Source organism: Homo sapiens, chromosome 19 (assembly GCF_000001405.40).
Source record: "Homo sapiens chromosome 19, GRCh38.p14 Primary Assembly".
NCBI classification, from domain to species: Eukaryota; Metazoa; Chordata; class Mammalia; order Primates; family Hominidae; genus Homo; species Homo sapiens.
Genome location: NC_000019.10, coordinates 57,729,076 through 57,746,502, shown reverse-complemented (window position 1 = coordinate 57,746,502; position 17,427 = coordinate 57,729,076).

Sequence of the window (17,427 nt, the reverse complement as noted above, 5' to 3'; positions counted from 1 at the left end):
GTATACCCTACCATCACGTTCACTTACTTGCAGGAAAGGCCCAGCTCCATCTCAGCGGCCTGTCCTTAAAGTGCATGTCCTTCTAGGGTAGAGGATAGTCTCACCTAGCCTTAGAACCCGTATTGAGATTTTTGGAGATTAGTGTCTGTAACTGATCACTCAAGTATTTGAAAAAATATTATTTTAGATTTTGGGGAACTCGAGCTCTCCGATGCTAAACTTATTATTTAGGATGCCCCCAAAGACTAAAAATCCAAATTATCATAACGTTTTGAACAGTCTTTCAGTCGCAAAATCCCGGTACTGGCAGCAGAGGCTGATAAACATTATTGTGTTATAAATTCACATGAATGCACTCTGAGGCATTAGAGTCAGTTTCTCAGTCTGTCAGGGACAAGAGAGAACTAATCCAGATAGGACAAGACAAGGAAGATAGAGGAGAAATGTTGTGTTCCCTAAAGCAGGAATACATGCTGAATCTCTGTCTGTGATTCCCACAGAAGACAACTCTCCTGCCTATAAAATCAATCATAGTGTCCAGTACATTGAGCAACACTTTTATCCACTTAGTATCCCTCGCTTGAGATTCCAACTTATATTCAATTAATTCTGGATTAATTTATCTAAGATTTATCAATCTTACAGGAAGACCAATGAAAGAAATGCTATTTTGGTAGTGATAAATGGCTGCAGTTTTCAAAGGTGGGGCACGTATGCAGAAGATGCTCTCCACCTGTTGATATTGGTTGTGTCTTAAATCCAGGAGTTCATGTTATTGCTGGGAAGTGGCTATTTTTTTTTTTTTGTATTAGATAAAACAGACTTTATTTATTTCTTTTCTTTTTTTTTTTTTGTGACTATTCTTTATTTCTGTTTCCATGGCAAGGAGTGTTTTGCCTAATAAATTAATGTTATGGATGGGATTACAGGCATGAGCCACCATACCTGGCTAATTTTGTATTTTTAGTAGAGACGGGGTTTCTCCATGTTGGTCAGGCTGGTCTCGAACTCTCAACCTCAGGTGATCCACCTGTCTCGGCCTCCCAAAGTGCTGGGATTAAAGGCATGAGCCACTGTACCCAGCCGCTCAGTTCTTAAAAAACCTATGTCTTCTATGTTCAGGGAGAAGAGGCATTTAGAGCAAGAGCTTACTCATTCTCCATTTCTGCTCAGAAATAAAACTTGCTTGCCTTTTTTTTTTTTTTTCCCAAATTGGGTGTTCTTTTTTTTGTGACCAATACAAAGTAGGGAAAGAACTCAGTTTATTGGTAGTACAACTTAAAAAAAAAAAAGCATGTTTAACATTCCAACTTTCATAGTCCTGTCAACTTTTACTTTATGTTGTAGTCCCAGGACTCTTCTCTCCAGACCATTTTACCCTTTCTTGTGCAGATGTCTTCAGGTTTCCACCCAGGGTTCAGGCCAGGAGACTTTGGCCTTTTTTCCAAGTGCTACCTTGATTAACCAGTCTAACCATCACCCTAGGCATTCCAGGTGGGGTTTCTCATTATATCTTTACCTTCTGGCTTTTAAAATTTATCCAAACTTCAGGAACTACAGCAACTTAGCTTAAGGCCCTTTAATGTTGGGGGATCAACAGGAACTTCCTTTGGTCCACCCAACCTTCAATAGTGTTATATTCAGAATTTTGTTTTAATCCGATCAGTTTTTATTTTATTCATCTAATTTCCATCTAATAGCCATCTAAAGATTTCCACCATGCTGGGATGAGTATCATGATTTCCCCCTTTTCTTTTTCCTCTTAGTTTCATTCCTATCCATGTTTTCTTTATTTGTCTTATTTCTTTATAACTATTTAAAAATTTCTACCTTCCTGGAAGGAGCTGTTTGACTCTCCCCTGTACCTTTCATCATTGTCTATCTTATTAATTAATCTAATGGTTTTATTAGCATCTGAAAGGCCCATAATAGGAAGCAAATTTGGTAAGACTGACTATAGCTCAATTTTGCAGCAGTAAGTTTACATAAGGTGCCCAAGAAAATGGGGTTCCCCAAACCAAGACATTTACCATGACCTGGGTAATAAACATATTCAGTAGGTAAATATTCCTATCATCATAATGCCAGTTCCACATGGCTTGCATGGGAAGCATATTAAGCTGGTTCATCTGGGGAGCCCCACTTGGCATTTATAGGGGGAGTCAGACAGTCCCGCTTTTCCGAGTAGACAGACTTCAGAGTAGCTTTTATACACCCACCCAGGCTGGCTGTTCCTTCAGGAATAAACTCTTGTGTGTGTGGATGATACATACCTATCTGCAATTGTTGAAGAGTGACCTGTAGGTACTACATCAACCCAAACATGTTCTTCCACTCTGCATTATTTAAAACCAAAGATGTTTCCCCTAAGTTAGTTATTCTCACTATCCATGTTAGTAAAGGTTCCTGAGGAAGCTGACGATACTGGTCTATAAAATGAAACAATTCCTCCACACTATTGATATAGAACCAGGCCTGTTCTGTCCATCTCACAGTATGCCAATCACTGAGATGATGAGTCTTGCAGCAGAGAAAGCATGTATTTACAAGGCTGCCAAGTGCAGAGGTGGGAGAACAGTTCTCAAATCTGCCTCTTTGATGATGGGATTTAGAGATATTTATGGGATAAAGAAGCCTGTCGGCCGGGCGCGGTGGCTCATGCCTGTAATCCCAGCACTTTGGGAGGCCAAGCCAGGCAGATCACAAGGTCAGGAGTTTGAGACTAGCCTGGCCAACATGGTGAAACCCCGTCCGTACTAAAAATACAAAAATTACCTGGGCATGGTGGCGGGGGTGGGGGCACCTGTAATCCTAGCTACTCAGGAGGCTGAGGCAGAAGAATTACTTGAACCCGGGAGGTGGAGGTTGCAGTGAGCCGAGATCGCGCCACTGCACTCCAGCCTGGGCAACACAGTGAGACTCCATCTCAAAAAAAAAAAAAAAAAATTGACCTGTTCTATCTCCAAAGTATGCCTGTATAAAGTTATTGATGCAAGAACATATTGTACCTTTTGTAATGGATTTTTCCAAATATATACACAAATACAAAGGACTATGTAATGAAGTCCCATGAATTCTTCCTCAATGATCCATTATTATTTATCATTGCATGGTGGTTTGTTTTTTTTTTTTTTTTTTTGAGACGGAATCTCGCTCTGTGACCCAGGCTGGAGGAAGTGGCGTGATCTTCGCTCACTGCAAGCTCAGCCTCCCGGGTTCATGCCATTCTCCTCAGCCTCCCGAGTAGCTGGGACTACAGGCGCCCGCCACCACACCCGGCTAAGTTTTTGTATTTTTAGTAGAGATGGGGTTTCACTGTGTTAGCCGAGATGGTTTCGATCTCCTGACCTCATGATCTGCCCGCCTCGGCCTCCCAAAGTGCTGGGATTACAGGCGTGAGCCACTGCGCCCGGCTTTTTTTTTTTTTTTTTTGAGACAGAGTCTTGCTGTGTCGCCCAGGCTGGAGTGCAGTGAGGCAATCTCAGCTTACTGCAACCTCCACCTCCTGGGTTCAAGCAATTCTCAGGGCTCAGCCTCCCAAGCAGCTGGGATTACAGTGCCATTACGCCCGGCTAATTTTTTTTTTTTTTTTTTCTTTGAGACGGAGTTTTGCTCTTGCTGCCCAGCGTGAAGTGCTATGGCACAATCCTGGCTCAACACAACCTCTGCCTCCCAGGTTCAAGCAATTCTCCTGCCTCAGCCTCCCGAGTAGATGGAATTATAGGCATGTGCCACCACGCCCGGCTAATTTGGTTGTGTGTGTTTTTTTTTTTTTTTTTTTTTTTTTAGTAGAGATAGGGTTTCTCCTGTCTCTACTAGAAAAAAAAAAGGGTCAGGCTGGTCTCCAACTCCCAACCTCAGGTGATCCATCCACCTCGGCTCTCCAAAGTGCAGGGATTACAGGCATGAGCCACCACATCTGACCGATTATCTATTCTTAAGTGTATTACTATGCTGTTTTACTTATAATCCTGATATCTCTCATTTTTGTTATTTTTGAGACGGAGTTTCTTGCTCTTGTTGTCAGGCTGGAGTGCAATAGCACCATGTCAGCTCACTGCAACCTCTGCCTCCTGGATTCAAGTGATTCTCCTGCCTCAGCCTCCCTAGTAGCTGGCTAACTTTGTATTTTTAGTAGAGACAGGGCTTCTCCATGTTGGTCAGGCTGGTCTCAAACTCCTGATCTCAGGTGATCCACCTGCCTCAGCCTCCCAATGTTCTGGGATTACAGGCATGAGCCACCATGCCTGGCCTCTAAATGTTATCTTGTATGACAGCATGATATATAGGCACATAAAAGCAAGATGCTTTAGAAATGTAAATAAAAGATTATAAATTACAAATGGCAATGTAATCAGGGATGTAAAGAATCTCAATACCTAAATGTTACCTTGCATGACAGCAAGTTATATAGGCATATTTCATCTTCACTATCAGTAATATTTTGCTTTCTTCTTTCTAGAAATATCTGTGATGATTCTTAATCAACATAGGACTCTACAGTAATGTCTAGAAGTTTAAAATTGTGTGTTCCAATTATATTATGACTACACACACTGGAAGGTATATTTCTATCTATTGTGGAGTAAAATTTTCTTGATTATACCCTGCTTATGCTCCCACTAAACCTTTGTAATCAGCAAATTTAAAAGCCCAAGTCTCTGAGTAGCATTTGTGCTTCTGTGTGGCCAGTATGACCCCACCTCCATTCTGTCTAACAGCCCCTTGGGGTTCTGAATATGCTGGTTGTGTGGATCACATCTCTCCCTCTTGGGTTTGTTGTCAGTGTGGTATATATTTATGTCGGCTCAGGCTGTCAATAGGTGCCAGTACCCAATGCCTCTTACACAGAGTCCTATAGGTATAACAGGGGCACCTCTAGGATGGACTGAGATTTTTTTTTTTTTTTTTGAGACAGGGTCACTCTTTTCCCCAGACTGGACTGTGGTGGCATGATCTTGGCTCACTGCAACCTCCGCCTCCCTGGTTCAAGCAACTCTCCTGTATCAGCCTCCCGCATAGCTCGGACTACAGGTGAGCGCAACCCATGGCTAATTTTTGTATTTTTAGTAAAGACAGGATTTCTCCATGTTGGCCAGGCTGGTCTCAAACTCTTGACCTCGTGATCCACCCACCTCGGCCTCCCAAAGCGTTGGGATTACAGGCGTGAGCCACCGTGCCCTGCCGGACTGAGGTCTTTAAATACTGCACACCTGTCACACAGGGTCCCTGGGATATGTGTTTTGTCTATAGGCTGTGCTGCAGTATAACCCTCAGGCACTTGTCACACACCAGGAGCATACACTCTTTGAAATTTTTGCTTCCAGACTGTACCACAGCATGCTGGGAGAATGTAATCCAACTGTGTGTTTCTGGCTGTGTCATAATCACACACTTATGTGGGACTACCCCTGAATCACCCATTTCAAGAATATCTAGTTTGCTTATGGCTTATACATGTGTAAACAACTTAAATCATATCAGAGATATGCACAAAAAATTAGAGTATAATAAATTCTAATACAAAAATTACACAATTTCAAGAAATAAATAAAATTTTGGCCAGGCGCGGTGGCTCACGCCTCTAATCCCAGCACTTTTGGAGGCCAAGACGGGTGGATCATGAGGTCAGGAGTTCAAGACCAGCCTGGCCAAGATGGTGAAACCCCGTCTCTACTAAAAATACAAAAATTAGCCGGGCGTGGTGGTGGGCGCCTGTAATCCCAGCTACTTGGGAGGCTGTGGCAGAGAACTGCTTAAACCTGAGAGGCGGAGGTTGCAGTGAGCCAAGATTGCACCATTGCACTCCAGCCTGGGTGACAGAGAGAGACTCCGTCTCAAAAAAAATAAAAAAATAAAATAAAATTTAAGGCCAGGCATTGTGGTTATGTATGTAATCCCAGCACTTTGGGAGGCCAAAGCAGGTGGATTGCTTGAGCCCAGGAGTCTGAGACCAGCCTGGGCAACATTGTGAAACCCAGTCTCTACAAAAAATAAAAAATAAAAGCTTAGCCAGGCATGGTGGTGCTTGCCTGTAGTCCCAGCTACTTGGGAGGCAGAGGTGGGAGGATCACCTAGCCCAGGGAGGTCCAGGCTGCAGTTAGCTGTAATTGTGTCACAGCACTCCAGCCTGGGTGACAGAGTAAGACCCTGTCCCACACCCCGCACAAAAAAGGAATTTTAAAAAGGAAAGTCATACCTGTAGATTAATAGAGATATATGAGACAGAACTACTAAAAGTCATGGGGATAAATTTGGGAATTTCTTTCTTTTTTTTTTTTAATTTTTGTATTTAGTAGAGACAGAGTTTCACCATGTTGGCCAGGCTGGTCTCAAAATCCCAACCTCAGATGATCCACCCGCCTCAGCCTCCCAAAGTGCTGGGACCACAGGCGTGAGCCACCACGCCCACATTTGGGAATTTCATTGCAATGAAGCTGCTTAAAGAACAAAGATATTTTTGAGACAATAGAAAAAATGGACGATGATAACATATTTTGTTATGCTTTAAACATTTCTGATGGAACCAGTTGTAGGTGTTATGAAAGAGCCCTTGGACTTTGGAAATACCCTGTGAAGAGATTATGCATTAAGCGATGTCAGGAAGCTGGGCGCTGTGGCTCATGCCTGTAATCTCAGCACTTTGGGAGGCCGAGGTGGGTGGATCACCAGAGGTCAGGAGTTCTAGACCAGCATGACCAACATGGTGAAACCTTGTCTCTACTAAAAATACAAAAATTCACTGGGCGTAGTGGCAGGTGCCTGTAATTCCAGCTACTAGAGAGGTGGAGGCAGGAGAATCACTTGACATGCTGGGATTACAGGCGTGAGCCACCACGCCTGGCCTAGATTCTTTACATATCTGATTACCTTACTATTTCCAATTTACAATCTTTTATTCATGTTTCTGAAGTGTCTTTCCTTTCACTAATGGGAGAGGAAGTATTAACTCTTTCACTCATCAAACACAAGTTAGTAAAATACCAGAGACTCAATTTGCAAATCATGCCCCCAAAAAGACAAAAATGCATAACCAAAAAATGTTATAAAGACACTAAATGGCCACTCAAATACTTTAAACAGTCTTCTTCATTTCCCACTGGTAAAGATCTTACAGTGGACTTTGTGAGGCTTAATATTTTCAGTCAGTAATGGAAGGAAGAATATTCAAAGAAGGTTTCAGAGGAAATATAGAGGAGAGGCATAAGGCAAGGAGAGGAGGTTGCACCATGTCTCCAGGTCCCTCAGAGTATGTCTCAACCTCAGAGCAGAACTGGTTCCTTCTGATTGTAACACTCTGTAGGGACCAGCCCCACAGGGTCGGTGGGTCTCTCCCTGTGTGCGGTGACGAGAGAGTGTAGAAATAAAGACACAAGACAAAGAGATAAGAGAAAAGGCAGCTGGGCCCGGGGGACCACTACCACCAATGCGCGGAGACTGGTAGTGGCCCTGAATGTCTAGCTGCACTGTTATTTATTGGATACAAAGCAAAAGAGGCAGGGCAAAGAGTGTGAGTCATCTCCAATGATAGGTAAGGTCATGTGGGTCATGTGTCCACTGGACGCGGGGCCCTTCTCTGCCTGGCAGCCAAGGCAGAGAGAGAGAGGGAGAGAGAGAGACAGCTTACACCATTATTTCTGCATATCAGAGACTTTTAGTACTTTCACTAATTTTGCTACTGTTATCTAGAAGGCAGAGCCAGGTGTACAGGATGGAACATGAAGGTGGACTAGGAGCGTGACCACTGAAGCACAGCATCACAGGGAGATGGTTAGGCCTCCGGATAACTGCGGGTGGGCCTGACTGATGTCAGGCCCTCCACAAGAGACGGAGGAGCAGAGTCTTCTCTAAACTCCCCCCGGGGAAAAGGGAGACTCCCTTTCCCGGTCCGCTAAGTAGCGGTTGTTTTTCCTTGACACTAAGGCTACCGCTAGACCAGACTTCCCAGATGCTGGCATCACCGCTAGACCAAGGAGCCCTCTGGTGGCCCTGTCTGGACATAACAGAAGGCTCGCACTCTTGTCTTCTGGTCACTTCTCACTGTGTCCCCTCAGCTCCTATCTCTGTATGGCCTGGTTTTTTCTAGGTTATGATTATAGAGCGAGTATTATTATAATACTGGAATAAAGAGTAATTGCTACAAACTAATGATTAATGATATTCATATATAATTACATCTATGATCTAGATCTAGTATAACTCTTGTTGTTTTATATATTTTATTATACTGGAATGGCTCATGCCCTCGGTCTCTTGCCTCAGCACCTGGGTAGCTTGCTGCCCACAACACTCACCTGGGAATAGTTGGTATTTACTAATTCACATTTACAAAACCGTGGCTGGAGTGTCAGCATTCCTGCCATGGGGAAAGTGGATATTTGAACCCTGAGAAAAGATTCTGGGTACAATAATCTCACCTTCTTGCTGGGAAGGAACTATCATTTCAGCAGTAAGTACAATGATAGTTTCGGCATGGGGACTGGAGATTACCTCTGGAAAACAGCTTGGACTGAGAAAATTAGTTAATATTGTGGATAAATGAAGTTACCACTGAGAATGACATAAGTAGCTAGAAAAGTTTCTGTGAAGTCTGAGAACACATAAATCTCAATGGATAGTGAGCAGAGGACATGGGGCTGTAAGTTCTGAGATAATTAAGTGGAGCCCATGGCTATCCTAGAGACTTGACTAACATGAAATTCTTATTTCTACAAAGTGTGTATTATTTCAATTTCTGAGAACTCAGGAAAAACCAACTGAGAGCCAAGGAAATAGTAAGGTAAGACTAGAAAGATGTCATAGAACAGAAAGAAAGCGATGGTGGCATCATATTGATTCAATGTCTTGGAATCTGCATCTTGTCACCTGGGGACACATTCTTTGATACAAAATGGAGGACCAGCTCATAGCTCCTGTGGTATTGAAAAACAAGTACTCCGGCCAGGCGTGGTGGCTCACGCCTGTAATACCAGCACTTTGGGAGCCCGAGGCGGGCGGATCACGGGGTCAGGCCATCGAGACCATCCTAGTCAACATGGTGAAACCCAGTATCCACTAAAATACAAAAAAATTAGCCAGGCGTGGTGGCGCACTCCTGTAGTCCCAGCTACTTGGGAGGCTGAGGCAGGGGAAATCACTTGAACCTGGGCGGAGGAGGGTGCAGTGAGCCGAGATCGCACCACTGCACTCCAGCCTGGTGACAGAGCAAGACTCCATCTCAAAAAAAAAGAAAAAAGAAAAAAAAAGTATTCCTTACAGTAAAGGAATGATATCACTGAAGAATATATTAGGTTCAAATATGTCTTTGTTTTACTTTTTCTTATTTCTTATTGAAATGGAAATAGAAAAAAAATTATTTTAGTATCAGGGTAATACCAACCTTGTATGATGAATTTAGAAGTATTTTCTCCTCCTCTTATTTTTGGGAATAGTTCGAGTAGGATTGGGGTTAGTTCTTTAAATGTTTGGTAAAATTCAGTAGTGAAGCCATTGGGTCCCAGGCTTTTCTTTGCTGGGAAAATTTTTATTACAGCCTCAATCTCATTGCTTGCTATTTGTCAGTTCAGGTTTTGGATTTCCTCATAATTCATCTTGGTAAGTTATATGTGTCTAGGAATTTGTCCATTTTTTCTATAATTTCCAATTTTTGGCATACAGTTGATCATAGTAGCCTCTAATGATCCTTTGAATTTCTGCAGTATTGGCTGTAAAGTCTTCTTTCTCACTTCTATTTTATTTGGTTTATCTTTCTTAGTCTGGCTAAAGGATTTTTTATTTTGTTTACTTTTCAAAAAACCAATTTCTCGGCCGGGCGTGGTGGCTCACGCCTGTAATCCCAGCACTTTGGGAGGCCGAGGTGGACAGATCACGAGGTCAGGAGTTCGAGACCAGCCTGACCAACATGGCAAAGCCCCGTCTGTATTAAAAATACAAAAATTAGCCGGGCATGGTGGTGGGTGCCTGTAATCCCAGCTACTTGGGAGGCTGAGGCAGGAGAATTGCTTGAACCCAGGAGGCAGAGGTTGCAGTGAACAGAGATCCTGCCATTGCACTCCAGCCTGGGTGATAAGAGCAAGACCCCATTTCAAAAAAAACAAACAAAAAACAAACAAACAAAAAAAATCATTTTGTTGAACACATTTGTATTGTTTTCTTTGTTTCAGTTTCATTTATTTCTGCTCTAATCTTTATTATTTTATTTTCCTTTTTTTTTTTTTTTTTTTGAGACAGAGTCTTGTTCTGTTGCCCAGGCTAGAGTGCAGTGGCGTGATCTTGGCTCACTGCAACCTCCACCTCCCGGGTTCAAGCAATTCTCCTGTCTCAGCCTCCTGAGTAGCTGGGACTACAGGTGCCTGCCACTACGTCTGGCTAATTTTTATATTTTTAGTAGAGATGGAATTTCACCTTATTGGTCAGGCTGGTCTCGAACTCCTGACCTCCGGTGATCCACCTGCCTCAGCCTCCCAAAGTGTTGGGACTGCAGGCGTGAGCTACTGCGCCCAGCTATTTATTTTCTTCTACTCACTTTGGGTTTGGTTTGCTCTAGCATCTCTAATTCTTTAAGATGCATTATTAGGTTGTTTATTTAAAGTTTTTTTTTTTACTTTTGTAATGTAGGCACTTATAGCTATAAACATTCTTCTTAGTACTTATTTTTCTGTATCCCACAGATTTTGGCATGCTGTGTTTCTATTATCATTTGTTTCAAAAAACTTTTCTTTTCTTTTTTTTTTTTTTGAGACAGAGTCTTGCTCCATCATCCAGGCTGGAGTGCAGCGGCGCAGTCTCGGCTCACTGCCACCTCCACCTTCTTGGGTTCAAGCAATTCCTCAGCCTCATGAGTAGCTAGGACTACAGGCGCCCGCCACCATGCCCGACTAATTTTTGTATTTTTAGTAGAGACATGGTTTCACCTTGTTGATCAGGCTGGTCTCGAACTCCTGACCTCAGGTGATCCACCTGCCTTGGCCTCCCAAAGTGCTGGGATTACAGGCATGAGCCAATGCGCCTGGCCTCAAAAAACTTTTCAATTTCTTTCTTTTTTTTTTTTCTCTTTGAGATGGAGTCTCACTCTGTCTCCCAAGCTGGAGTGCAATGGCGCAATCTCCACTCACTGCAACCTCCACCTCCTGGGTTTAAGCAATTCTCCTGCCTCAGCCTCCTGAGTAGCTGGGATTACAGGTGTGTGCCACCATGCCCGGCTAATTTTTGTATTTTTAGTAGAGACAGGGTTTCATCATGTCGGTCAGGCTGGTCTTGAACTCCTGACCTCGTGATCCGCCTGGCTCCACCTCCCAAAGTGCTGGGATTACAGTCGTGAGCCATCATGCCCAGCCCAACTTCTCAATTTCTTAATTGACCCACTGGTCATTCAGAAGACGACTGTTTAATTTCCATGTGTTTGTAGCATTTTGAAAGTCCACTTGTTACTGATTTCTACTTTTATTGCCTTGTGGTCAGAGAAGGTACTTGATATTATTTCAATTTAAAAAAGTTTCAAGACATATTTTATGGCCTAACATATAGTATTTCTTTGAGAATGATCCATGTGCTGAGAAGAATAGGTATTCTGAAGCTGTTGGATGAAATGTTCTATAAATATCTATTAGGTCCATTTGTTCTATAGTGCAGATTAAGTCCATTTCTGTCTGGAAGGCCTGTTCAATGCTGAAAGTGGGGTGTTGTCATCTTCAGCTATCACTGTGTCAGACTCTATCTGTCTCTTTAGCTCTAATAATATTTACTTTTATATCTGGGTGCTCCAGTGTTGAGTGTATATATATTTACAAAGATTATGTCCTCTTGCTGAATTGATCCCTTTAGCATTATATATAATGACTTTGTCTCTTTTCACAGTTTTTCTCTTGAAATCTATTTTTCTGATATACATGTAGTTATTCCTGCTATTTCGTCGTTTCCAGTGGCATGAAATATCTTTTTCCATCCTTTTATTTTAATCTATGTGTGTCTTTATAGGTGAAGGGTGTTTCTTGTATGCAATAGAGCATTGGGTCTTTATTTTTATTCATTCAGCAACTCTGTGTGTTTTGATTGGAGACTTTAGTCCATTTATATTCAATGTTTTATTAATAAGTAAGGATTTACTGCTGCCATGTTGTTTGGTGGTCTTCTCTTCCTTCTTTCCTTCCTTCCTGTCTTCCTTATTGTGAAGGTGATTTTCTCTGGTTGTATATTTTAATTTCTTTTTAAAAAATTTTTTGGTATCTGTTGTAGGTTTTTGAATTTAGTTTACCATGAAGCTTCCATGGTAAACTATATCTTATAACCCATTATTTTAAACTGATGACAACACTGATCCCATAAACAAATAACAAACAAGAGAAAAACTAATAAAAACATTACACTTTAACTATGTCACCCAGCTTTTAAATTTTTTGTTTCTATGTATATCTTATTGTACTGTCTATGTCTTGAAAACTTGTTGGAATTGTTTTTGATAGGTTCATATTTTAGTCTTTCTACTCAAGATATGAGTTTACACATCACAGTTACATTGCTACTATATTGTTTTTTTTTTCTGTGTAGTTACTATTACCAGTGAGTTTCGTGCCTTCAGATGATTTCTTGTTGCTCATTAACATCCTTTTAGATTGCAGAACTCCCTTTAACATTTCTTGTAAGACAAGTCTGGTGTTGACAAAAATCTTTCAGCTTTTGTTCATCCAGAAGAGTTTTTATTTCTCTTTCATGTTTGAAGGATACTTTCAGCAAATACACTATTCTAGGATAAAAGTTTTTTCCTTCAGCACTTTAAATCCATCATGCCACTCTCTCCTGGCCTATAAGGTTTATACTGGGAAGTCTTCTACCAGGCATATTGGAGCTCCTTTGTGTGTTGTTTCTGTTCTTTTGCTGCTTTTAGGATCCTTTCTTTACCCTTGACCTTTGGTAATTTGATTACTAAATGTCTTGAGGTAGTCTTCTTTGGGTTAAATCTGCTTGGTATTCTACGGCCTTCTTGTACTTGAATATTGATATCTTTCTCTTGGAAAGATAATCCTTCCTAATATCTTTGGGAAATTCTCGATATTATCCCTTTGAATAGACTTTTTTAAAATTATTATTATACTTTAAGTTTTAGGGTACATGGGCACAACGTGCAGGTTTGTTACATATGTATACATGTGCCATGTTGGTGTGCTGCACCCAGTAACTCATCATTTAGCATTAGTTATATCACCTAATGCTATCCCTCCCCCATCCCCCCACCCCACAACAAGCCCCAGTGTGTGATGTTCCCCTTCCTGTGTCCATGTGTTCTCATTGTTCAATTCCCACCTATGAGTGAGAACATGCAGTGTTTGGTTTTTTGTCCTTGTGATAGTTTGCTGAGAATGATGGTTTCCAGCTTCATCCATGTCCCTACAAAGGACATGAACTCATCATTTTTTATGGCTGCATAGTATTCCATGGTGTATATGTGCCACATTTTCTTAATCCAGTCTATCATTGTTGGACATTTGGGTTGGTTCCAAGTTTTTGCTATTGTGAATAGTGCCACAATAAACATACACGTGCATGTGTCTTTATAGCAGCATGATTTATAATCCTTTGGGTATATACCCAGTAATGGGATGGCTGGGTCAAATGGTATTTCTAGTTCTAGATCCCTGAGGAATCGCCACACCAACTTCCACAATGGTTGAACTAGTTTACAGTCCCACCAACAATGTAAAAGTGTTCCTATTTCTCCACATCCTCTCCAGCACCTGTTGTTTCCTGATTTTTTAATGATCGCCATTCTAACTGGTGTCAGATGGTATCTCATTGTGGTTTTGTTTTGCATTTCTCTGATGGCCAGTGATGATGAGCATTTTTTCATGTGTTTTTCGACTGCATAAATATCTTCTTTTGAGAAGTGTCTGCTCATATCCTTTGCCCACTTTTTGATGGGGTTGTTTTTTTTCTTATAAATTTGTTTGAGTTCATTGTAGATTCTGGATATTAGCCCTTTGTCAGATAAGTAGGTTGTAAAAATTTTCTCCCATTCTGTAGGTTGCCTGTTCACTCTGATGGTGGTTTCTTTTGCTGTGCAGAAGTGCTTTAGCTTAATTAGATCCCATTTGTCAATTTTGGCTTTTGTTGCCATTGCTTTTGGTGTTTTAGACATGAAGTCCTTGCCCATGCCTATGTCCTGAATGGTATTACCTAGGTTTTCTTCTAGGGTTTTTATGGTTTTAGGTCTAACATTTAAGTCTTTAATCCATCTTGAATTAATTTTTGTATAAGATGTAAGGAAGGGATCCAGTTTCAGCTTTCTACATATGGCTAGCCAGTTTTCCCAGCACCATTTATTAAATAGGGAATCCTTTCCCCATTGTTTGTTTTTTCAGGTTTGTCAAAGATCAGATAGTTGTAGATATGCGGCATTATTTCTGAGGGCTCTGTTCTGTTCCATTGGTCTATATCTCTGTTTTGGTACCACTACCATGCTGTTTTGGTTACTGCAGCCTTGTAGTATAGTTTGAAGTCAGGTAGCATGATGCCTCCAGCTTTGTTCTTTTGGCTTAGGATTGACTTGGCAATGCGGGCTCTTTTTTGGTTCCATATGAACTTTAAGGTAGTTTTTTCCAATTCTGTGAAGAAAGTCATTGGTAGCTTGATGGGGATGGCATTGAATCTATAAATTACCTTGGGCAGTATGGCCATTTTCACGATATTGATTCTTCCTACCCATGAGCATGGAATGTTCTTCCATTTGTTTGTATCCTCTTTTATTTCATTGAGCAGTGGTTTGTAGCTCTCCTTGAAGAGGTCCTTCACATCCCTTGTAAGTTGGATTCCTAGGTATTTTATTCTCTTTGAAGCAATTGTGAATGGGAGTTCACTCATGATTTGGCTTTCTGTTTGTCTGTTATTGGTGCATAAGAATGCTTGTGATTTTTGCACATTGATTTTGTATCCTGAGACTTTGTTGAAGTTGCTTATCAGCTTAAGGAGATTTTGGGCTGAGACGATGGGGTTTTCTAGATATGCAATCATGTCATCTGCAAACAGGGACAATTTGACTTCCTCTTTTCCTGATTGAATGCCCTTTATTTCCTTCTCCTGCCTGATTGCCCTGGCCAGAACTTCCAACACTATGTTGAATAGGAGTGGTGAGAGAGGGCATCCCTGTCTTGTGCCAGTTTTCAAAGGGAGTGCTTCCAGTTTTTGTCCATTCAGTATGATATTGGCTGTGGGTTTGTCATAGATAGCTCTTATTATTTTGAGATACGTTACCATCAATATCTAATTTATTGAGAGTTTTTAGCATGAAGGGTTGTTGAATTCTGTCAAAGGCCTTTTCTGCATCCATTGAGATAATCCTGTGGTTTTTGTCTTTGGTTCTGTTTATATGCTGGATTACGTTTATTGATTTTCGTATGTTGAACCACCCTTGCACCCCTGGGATGAAGCCCACTTGATCATGGTGGATAAGCTTTTTGATGTGTTGCTGGATTCGGTTTGCCAGTATTTTATTGAGGATTTTTGCATCAATGTTAATCAAGGATATTGGTCTAAAATTCTCTTTTTTTGTTGCATCTCTGCCAGGCTTTGGTATCAGGATGATGCTGGCCTCATAAAATGAGTTAGGGAGGATTCCCTCTTTTTCTATTGATTGGAATAGTTTCAGAAGGAATGGCACCAGCTCCTCCTTGTACCTCTGGTAGAATTCGGCTGTGAATCCATCTGGTCCTGGACTTTTTTTGGTTGGTAAGCTATTAATTATTGCCTCAATTTCAGAGCCTGGTCTATTCAGAGATTCAACTTCTTCCTGGTTTAGTCTTGGGAGAGTGTATGTGTCGAGGAATTTGTCCATTTCTTCTAGATTTTCTAGTTTATTTGCGTAGAGGTGTTTATAGTATTCTCTGATGGTAGTTTGTATTTCTGTGGGATGGGTGCTGTTATCCCCTTTGTCTTTTTTTATTGCATCTATTTGATTCTTCTCTCTTTTCTTCTTTATTAGTCGTGCTAGTGGTCTATCAATTTTGTTGATCTTTTCAAAAAACCAGCTCCTGGATTCATTGATTTTTTGAAGGGTTTTTTGTGTCTCTATTTCCTTCAGTTCTGCTCTGATCTTAGTTATTTCTTGCCTTCTGCTAGCTTTTGAATGTGTTTGCTCTTGCTTCTCTAGTTCTTTTAATTGGATGTTAGGGTGTCAATTTTAGATCTTTCCTGCTTTCTCTGGTGGGCATTTAGTGCTATAAATTTCCCTCTACACACTGCTTTGGACGTGTCCCAGGATTGTGGTATGTTGTGTCTTTGTTATCGTTGGTTTCAAAGAACATCTTTATTTCTGCCTTCATTTCGTTATGTACCTAGTAGTCATTCAGGAGCAGGTTGTTCAGTTTCCATGTAGTTAAGTGGTTTTGAATGAGTTTCTTAATCCTGAGTTCTAGTTTGATTGCACTGTGGTCTGAGAGACAGTTTGTTATAATTTCTGTTCTTTTACATTTGCGGAGGAGTGCTTTACTTCCAACTATGTGGTCAATTTTGGAATAGGTGTAGTGTGGTGCTGAAAAAAAATGTATATTCTGTTGATTTGGGGTGGAGAGTTCTGTAGATGTCTATTAGGTCCGCTTGGTGCAGAGCTGAGTTCAATTCCTCGATATCCTTGTTAACTTTCTGTCTTGTTGATCCGTCTAATGTTGACAGTGGGGTGTTAAAGTCTCCCATTATTATTGTGTGGGAGTTTAAGTCTCTTTGTAGGTCACTAAGGACTCGCTTTATGAATCTGGGTGCTCCCGTATTGGGTGCATATATATTTAGGATAGTTAGTTCTTCTTGTTGAATTGATCCCTTTACCATTATGTAATGGCCTTCTTTGTCTCTTTTGATCTTTGTTGGTTTAAAGTCTGTTTTATCCGAGAGTAGTATTGCAACCCCTGCCTTTTTTTGTTTTCCATTTGCTTGGTAGATCTTCCTCCATCCCTTTATTTTGAGCCTATGTGTGTCTCTGCATGTGAGATGGGTTTCCTGAATACAGCACACAGATGGGTCTTGACTGTTTATCCAATTTGCCAGTCTGTGCCTTTTAATTGGAGCATTGAGCCCATTTACATTTAAGGTTAGTATTGTTATGTGTGAATTTGATCCTGTCATTATGATGTTAGCTGGTTATTTTGCTCATTAGTTGATGCAGTTTCTTCCTAGCCTTGATGGTCTTTACAATTTGGCATGTTTTTGCAGTGGCTGGTACCAGTTGTTCCTTTCCATGTTTAGTGCTTCCTTCAGGAGCTCTTTTAGGGCAGGCCTGGTGGTGACAAAATCTCTCAGCATTTGCTTGTCTGTAAAGTATTTTATTTCTCCTTCACTTATGAAGCTTAGTTTGGCTGGATATGAAATTCCGGGTTGAAAATTCTTTTCTTTAAGACTGTTGCCTTCTTTAGAATATTTATTTAGGGTATTGTGACAAAGTCAAAA